Source organism: Homo sapiens, chromosome 6 (genome assembly GCF_000001405.40).
Source record: "Homo sapiens chromosome 6, GRCh38.p14 Primary Assembly".
Lineage (NCBI taxonomy): Eukaryota > Metazoa > Chordata > Mammalia > Primates > Hominidae > Homo > Homo sapiens.
Window position 1 is genome coordinate 110,360,686 of NC_000006.12, and position 8,651 is coordinate 110,369,336.

The following is an 8,651-nucleotide window of genomic DNA, read 5'->3' on the forward strand; positions in this document are numbered from 1 at the left end:
GTGGTGGATGATAATGAATAGTAAAATGGGTCAGTCTGTGGGCTGAAGAGGCAAATCTAATGGATCACTGTTGTAGCTGACAAGCAATCTTTCATTCACGACCTTTGCTTTTCTTATAGAGTTGAACTTGTCTCAGTCCTTTCTGGATGTGTCTCAAAAATGCAGATAATCATTAACCGCTGTGTCATAGGCTGGTTAATTAAACAAGCAGGTCAGTAAACCACAATAGCGGCTTTCATCAGATCACAGATTACATCCTCCTAGAGGTTTTAGCCAGAAAAATGTGTGAAACAGAACATTTCTAATCTCCTAAACAACATGCATTTCAACTTGGACACCTGCTGTAGTGCTGTGATTCTCAACCAGGGTTGGTTTTGCCTCCCAGGGGACATTTGGCAATGTCTGAAGATGTTTTTGGTTGTTACCACTGGAGGATGCTACTGGCGTCTAATGGCTACCTATTAGACTAGGGATGCAGCTAAGCCTCCTCCAGTGCAAAAGATAGCCTTCCACAACAAAGACTTGTCCAGCCCAGAATGTCAGGAGAGCCTAAGTTGAGAAAACCTGCTGTAACTATAGATGCCAATGTGGTCATTTTAAATTATAGACTGTCCAAAGAGAAAACAGAGCCGATAGTATCCTCACCTTCATCAAGTGGTTATTTATATCTCACAATGTGACATACCCAGTGTGTTAGTCCTTTTTTGTGTCACTATAAAGAAATACCTGAGGCTAAGTAATGTATAACAAAAAGAGGTTTAATTGGCTCTTGGTTCTGCATGCTGTACATGAAGCATAGTGCCAGCATCTGCTTTTGGTGAGGCCTCAGGAAGTTTACAGTCATGGCAGAAGGCAAAGGGTGAGCCAGTGCATCACATGGTGAGAATGGGAGCAAGAGAGAAAGGAAGGAGCTGCCAGCCTCTTTTAAACAATCAGATCGCCCATGAACTAATAGAGCAAGAACTCGCTTATCACAAAGGGGGGATAGTGCTAAGCCATTCGTGAGGGATCCACCCCCATGATCCAATATCTCCCGCTAGGCCCCACCTCCAACACTGGAAGTCACATTTCAACATGAGATTTGGAGGAGACAAACATCCAAACCATATCACCCAGTCTGAATTAAAGTGATCAAATTTACAAAAGAATGAAGTTAGAATGTCTGACATCAACATCCGCCATCCTCTCATCACCTTTTCTCAGTGTACATGCTCACTGTGGAAAATATACACAAGCAAAAGAAGATACCAACATTCATAACACGATTCAGATATAGCTATCCTACACATGTAGATGGTTTTCAAAAATGAAATCATATTATATATATTTCTTTATAATGTGCTTTTGTAACATAATATGTTATATAGTTTATGTATTAAATAATATGTTGTTTGGAATTTGCTTAACAACAATCTAGTGGGGAGATGGGAGAGAAGTGGGAGTAAAAATGAAGCAAGAATGGCTGTGAGTTGATCATTGTTGTAGCTAGATGATGGGTTCACAGCTCTTTATTTTTGAGCATGTACGAAATTTTCCATATGGAAAATGTCCTTAAACAGTAACCTGTTAACTACAACATGTACCATATTAACCATTCTTCCATTGTCGAACAGTTGGATAATTACCAGTTTTTCATTTTTATAAACAATGCTGTGATGGACATCTTTGTAGCTAAATCTGATGGAGCAGATATGCAGTGTGAGAGAAAGAAAGAAGTCAAGAATGATTCCGAGGTTTTTTCCTGAGTAACTGGAAGAATTAAGTTGCTGTTAACTGAGAAGGGAAAGACTCAACTAAGAGCAATTAGAGTAGAAAATCCAGTAAGATTTTGGTAGTCCCGTTAAGTTTGGGAAACCTATTGGACATACAAATGGAGATGTGGCATAGGCAGTTGGATCTAAAAGACTGAAATTCAGGGGAGTGGTGAGGGCTGGAAATAGAAAACTGGATCGTCAGCATACAGGTGTGAAATATCTGAAGGCTTAGTTCTGGGGTTCACCAGTTTAAAGTCAGGAAGATGAGCATCCAACAAAGGCTACTGAGATAGGTAAGCAGTAAGGTAAGAGAATGTGGTGTTCCAGAAACCAAATGAAGAGAGTATTTCTAGAAGGAACACACTGAGAGGTCTAATAAGATGTGGACTGGAAACTGACTCTGAGATTTGGTAACATAATGCCTTGTTTATGATGTCTTCCCCAACTAGAATGTAAGCTCCACGAGGTCAGGGACTTTGTTTCCATTGATTATTGCTATAATCCTGGTGCCTAGAACAGTATCTGGCATGTAGTATATGCTCAATAAATAGTTGTTGAATTAAAGAGTGAGGAATGAATCAAGTCTGTGTGCATTCATAGTTATTTTGTCACATTAAATTCTTAAGAGTAGAATGCTACATGAAGGCAAAATCATAAGTCTTTCAGTGTGAAGTTCTATCATTAATTTTTAAGTCCACCAAAAAAGGCTGTTTTAATCCCATTTAAAGCCATCAAATATTCCTTTGTTATTGTTGGGAAACCTCAAAGGATAGCCTTAAGCCAGCGCCTAACAGAAGGATGAACTAAGCACAGTTTATTTTTAGTTTCCTCCTATTCTCCTGTTGCTACACTTGAACCCATTCTTCAACTCCCCTCAAATGCCAATCCCAAGCCACATCCCAGGTAGGATTTGTGTTCACTGGGCTGTCAATTAGTTTTCTCCTCTCCACCCTAAAGGTGTAGCTAAATGTTAAGATACTAGCTCAGGCCGAGCAAGGTGGTTCAGGTCTGTAATCCCAGTACTTTGGGAGGCTGAGGTGAGTGGATTATCTGAGCTCAGGAGTTCGAGACCGCCCTGGGCAACATGGTGAAATCCCATCTCTACCAAAAATACCAAAAAATTAGCCAGGCATGGTGCTGTGTTCCCATGGTCCCAGCTACTCGAAAGGCTGACTAAGATAGGAGGATTGCTTGAGCCTGGGAGGTTGAGGCTGCAGTGAGTCGAGATCATGCCACTGCACTCCAGCCTGGGTGATGATGGAGTCAGACCCTGTCTCAAATAAATAAATAAATAAATAAATAAATAAGAAAGATACTAGCTCACCATGACTTAGGACCCTAACAGAAACATCTGTGTTCAAGAAAGAACCCACCACAATGAAAGCTTTCGAGACCTAGAACAAAGTTATAATAGAATGACAGACACTGGAACTGCTATTTGAGGCTGGGAGCCCTGCCTAAAATCACACCACTGCCTATTCCACAACCAAATAAGGCTGGCTCTGGGCTGGTCTTATGGAAAATGCCTGGGGAATGTCTTAATGCCCAGGCCTGGCAGGGAAAGAGAGCACAAGGCTTCCCTGCCTCTTTTTAGTTCCCCCTTACACCCGTGTTCTCCCATTCTTACTCTAACATTTGTGGACTTGTTTTATCCTTCCTCTACCGGGGATGTTTCTCAGGCATTGGGATGGGGGTCTTAATCACTTCTGCACCACCAGCAATGCCTTGTATGGGGCAGGCCTTAATCATGTCTCTGGAATTGTTAACAGACAACAGACATCGCACCCCAATTCTGCTGGAGTCAGACTCAAGATACCACAGTTCTTGTTGCTAATCCATCCTAACCTAAAAAGAATCATAGTCAAACCCATATTGGCTGGCTCACAAATAATAATACCTCCAACCTGGTACCTTTTTGTTTCCCTGAAGGAACTTGGAAAGAATCAGGGAATGCATCACATAAGCCACTGGGGGACAAAGAACTAAGGTCAAAGATGTGGATGTGGGGAGAACAGTGCATGGACAGGGTGGACACTGCAGTGGTGGCTCTGAGGGAACCCTAGGCTTTGGAGCCCTTGGGCAGGAAGTTCTGATGAAAGACGCAACATACACAGACAGACACACACACCCACTTCCTTGGATGTGTTCGGAAAACACATCTGAGGCATTGTTAGAGAGGTTTATTTACAAACATTAGCTCCCACAATGAGGCATTCCTGGATTCTATGACAATGAAAGGGCTTAGGTTAGGAATGATCAAAACATCTTTTTCATAGGACCACCTACACAGTGTGGACCCTCCTGCACCTTCCACTCATCTCAGCATTATAACACATGCCAGAAATAATCTCCCAGCTACAGATCACTTTGAAGTCAAAAACATTCCTGGTTAAAACTTTCCCAAAGTCAAGGGCTTTTAAAAAAACCTTTTAAGGTCAGAAACGATTACCAGGCAACTGACAGGATAAAGTGAGGCACAGCATGCTTAAAGGCAAAAATCTCAGGGCTGTGTCATTTCAACTTAGCTTGTGAATGTACTAAAAATCCTGAGGTCAAAAGCCATTTTTCTTTCTCATCGCATTACTGCTTTTGCCCTGGGGAAAGTCTAAGAACTATATTATTTTCAGATCATAATACGGAGGCTCTCACACTTAAGTGTACATGAGAATACCCCAGGGAGTTATTCAAAGGCAGGTTCAAAAGCCCCACCTCCAGAGAGTTTTAAGTCAGTGGTGACTCCCCCAAAGCTAAGCTACAGGTGGTCCATGATCAAACTTTTAGAAACCCTGGCACACTGGCTCCCACCATGGTGACGGTTGAGGGTCAGGGGGCAATATGTAGGGAGCAGTTTATTACAAGGTGTCCTTGTACCCATGGGTGCAAATGTTCTCCCTCAAACCTCTAAGCACAGTTACTAGCAGTTTTAGGCATTAACAAGGGGCCTTCATATTCAAAAGAGCAGGAGCTCCCTTGGCAGCCATTCTGTTCTCCCCCCAGAACCTCACGGGGAAGTGAAGGGAGTGCAAAAGGAACTTTCCTTCCTTCCTTCTTTTCCTCCTTCCCTCTCCCCCTTCTTCCTTTCTTCCTTCCTTCCCCTATTTGCTCTGGGAATTTCCCAAAGCTGTAGAGTGAAAGGAAGGAGTTGTGATTACCCATATGTAGCTTGTACAGTGAGAGCCTGTCCCTTGATTATTCTGATGAGGCAGTAGCACCCAGAAATCTTCAGTGCCCTAGCTGGGATGCAATGCCCATCCGCTCACGAGTTACCCTTACCCTCTGTGCTTTGTTCCCTCATCTTTAAAATGAGAATAATAATAACAGTAATAATAGTAACTTCCTCATAGGGTACTGAGGTATTGTCATGAGATGGTTAAATGAGCTAACATATTTGAAGCACTGGGCACACGGTGCTATCATATATAATTTGTTATTGTTGCCATTCTCTATAAATCATAAAAGACATTTATTTTAGTTTTGCACCCATTTATGCTCCTTTTTCTCTTGCCTTCAGGTTGAATTGTTTGGGGCTTGGGCTTAATGGATCTCAACTCAACTGAAATAAGAGGAGAAATGAAGCTGGGCACCGTGGTGTGTGCCTGTGGTCCTAGCTGTTCAGGAGGCTGAGGTGGGAGGATTGCTTGAGTCCAAAAGTTGGAGGCCAGCCTGGACAACATAGTGAGACCCCTCTCTCAATTACAAAAAAAAGAGAGCAAGAGAGAAGATAAATGGAAACCAGAGCTGTGCTGCTGTTGCTACTAGCAAATCCCTAGTCTTTTTCCTTGGAGTCATCATATGCCAGGGAGTATCTCACTAAGGTTTCTGTTATTTCTGGGAAAGCACATTGATCCTATTTAACTAGCGGATCTTTCCCTTCCCTTTCGACCTGTGCTATTCTAAAACAGCTCCTTTCTTCCTTTCATCTCTGCTTTCTGTGGGGTTTGTGTGCCATGTAACCACACCACTTTTCTCTCCTTCACCTTTCTCTTCCTGTTTTCTGTGCTCACTTCACACTTTATTTCTCTTCAAAGCATGCTCTTGGCACTGCTCCAGCTCTATCACCTGATTCCTTATCACTGGCCCCTTGGAATAGCTTCAGCCCTGATCATTTGTGAGTTAGCAGCATCAGTATTTGATACAAATCCAATTACAGAGCACACTTCACCCCATCCTTCCCTCAAAAATGTTTCTAGTGTTAAAGACAAGAGTAGCTTCCTCCCCAGAGAACAGAAGGCCAGGGGCTACTCTGCCTCTCCCACCCCAGTGGCTCAGGTGGTTGTTCAGAGAGGGAGGCAAATGCTGTCTGCAAGAATGTTGCTGTCGCTAAGACAGAAGGAAGAAGAAATAGTTCCCTATCAGAAAGGGCATCCAGGAGAAAAGCCCCTGTAGGATGGATGACAAAGAAGAGTGGGGAAGAGTCTGTGTCTTGCTATTTTCCTGCCGGCGTGTGCACATTAGCTGCTTCAACCACCGACTATGAGATCACTGGCAAGGTTTTTAACAGCAGTCCTTATTTTAATGTCTTTGTGGTTTTTAAATTCTGCCTTAATGTGGGGAAAGAGTATGTAAAATTCAGGAAACAAATTCCCATTATTGCTATAACTTTGGCCCCACCAGGTATGAAAGCATGTAGCTGCCTCTGCGGTGACTGTTTACCAGTCTCAGTCCCACAGCAGATGCAGGGTGGGATGTGGATGGTGAATTATTCATTTTGCCTCCCTGCTGGTAACCAGTCTCTGGCACCGAGAGGAGCTCAGTGAACAGAAGATGCAGCAGAGGATGTCAGGAAACCCACAATGCTGAACTTGGTGTATGTGGACCTGACCTTCAGGTGCCCCCATTCACTGTACCCCAGCACCTGCTGTGCTTTCCTGCCTCTGAAACTTGTCACTCCCCCTGCCTGAAAAGAACACTATGAGCCCTGCCATGGAAATGGGATGGTTCTAGATAGGTCTGGAAAAGAGCAGGCTGAGAAGTTTGAATTGCATTAAATGGGCCACGGGGAGTCACTGATGGTTTCTGAGCAGAAGACACTGGCATGATTTGAAGCAGGGCCTCATTAAGATCTGCATGGACTCCAAGAATGCAGGTTGTGGTACTCCCCAAGCCCCCACCTTATATTATTCAAAATAAAACAGTACCAAACTGTAAAACACAAAACATCAGATATGCTGACATTGAAAAAGCTTGATTCTAGATAGACCTTCTGAAGCCAAGAAGAACCTTTTTCCAGGCCTTTTTCTGTTTCTTACCACCAAAGACTGAAATGAGTCTCTTTCTTTACCATAGAACATTCTACCAGAAACTTACAGAATGTTATAAGTTTTGAACACAGAGATTTAACAAAATAAAGTGGCCATTGCCCAACTGTGCATTTTCTTTACACAAAATTAGATAATGATGTAACATAATTATTTCAGAATAAATCATCTCACTTTTTTTTTGCAGCCTCACAGAATGCACCAAGAATAGCCTCATAGCAATGTTATAATGTACATCTAAAGTGTCTTTCTTGAAGCACTTAAAAGCTACACTGATGAAATTTCTAGGGAATCTTGATTTCGTACATTTGATACATTAGATTAGAGCCTTCCTAAGTTTGGTGGATGATAATGAAAATTGTTTGCAAGCCACATCATCATATTCCAGCACTCAATTTCAGCATAACAGGGGATGTGGTGAGCATTAAGCATTACAATATGACCAGATAAATCCTTCATGTTGCCTAATTCTGGATTAACAGCAAAATGATGTTGACTTCACAGGGGCCCTCCAGCCCTGAGCTTTGTTAACAAATTAAATGTGAAAAGGAGGTACCTAAACTTTCATTGATAAGAAATAAAAATGAAAGCTAAATCCATAACCCGTCACAATCAAATCTCTTTAAAACATAGAAACCCTCTTTAACACAAAGGTCTTTATCTTTTTGACCATAATGCCTTAATGAAGTACAACTATTTCTATGTAGTCTGCCTCAAATCCCACGTTAAACAAAGGAGAGAAGTTTCATTATGTTTCAGGCTTTAACAACCCAGGATAAATTGGCTGTGTTTGTCTATTATTCATCACTATTGTTAGAACTTAAGTCTTTGTTACTGACAGGGGTGAAACTTAGCTGGGCAGATCAATAGAATTAGTTCTCCCCTCAGACAATAGGAAGTATGAAGATAATGACTAGCAATGACTTAAAAAAATTTCTGCCTTTCATTAGCAGTTCATGTTCCAGGAAAGGCTTTTTGAGCTGCTGAACAAAAGATTGCTCCTAAGGTTCAACAGCTTCATGTATCAGAGAAATTTTCTGCAACTCTGAAACCTATAAATGCCTGGCCAAAAAAATATACATATATATATACACACACTATGCACATTCCACTCTCAAAACCATAAGGAAGCCTTTATAACTAAGGTGATCAACGCTAAACTCTGCATTACTATATTGAAAGCCATCAACAGCCATGAGGTCAGAATAGAAAGTAGAAAGTATACACTAAACAAAATGCTTCAGCAAGAAAAACAGCTTTGATCTTAGAAGACAGACTTCTCTGACTGGCTTTGCACTTTGGCCCCACATGGTTTTTTTGGAAAATACTTGTCATGAAATTTTATGATCTGCTAAAAAAAAAAACAAAAGTGTAAAAATATTCTTTCTTACCTACCTCACAAGGATGTTGGGAAGATTAAAATTAGATAGTTGTGAAAGTTTCTAATTCTCCTAGGAAAGCCTGCAGAAATACTTTGTGGATAAACCCCTTTGTTGCAAGCTTAAAATAGTCATAATGAACCCAACTCAGCCTTCTCCCGTTAAAAGCCCGGGATTATGCTGATCAAGCAGTCATTTCCCTCGTCTCTGAATAGCTCTTTTAAATCATTCCACTCATAGCCCAAAAGTATTTAATACAT

General features: G+C 41.6%; 1 annotated feature.

Annotated features, from left to right (window-relative positions):
* Nucleotides 1-295: an enhancer, noted in NCBI's record as "tiled region #3191; HepG2 Activating DNase matched - State 8:EnhW". NCBI's record gives its function as "activates a minimal TATA promoter and a strong SV40 promoter by Sharpr-MPRA in HepG2 cells {active_cell/tissue: HepG2}" and the evidence as "EXISTENCE:reporter gene assay evidence [ECO:0000049][PMID:27701403]".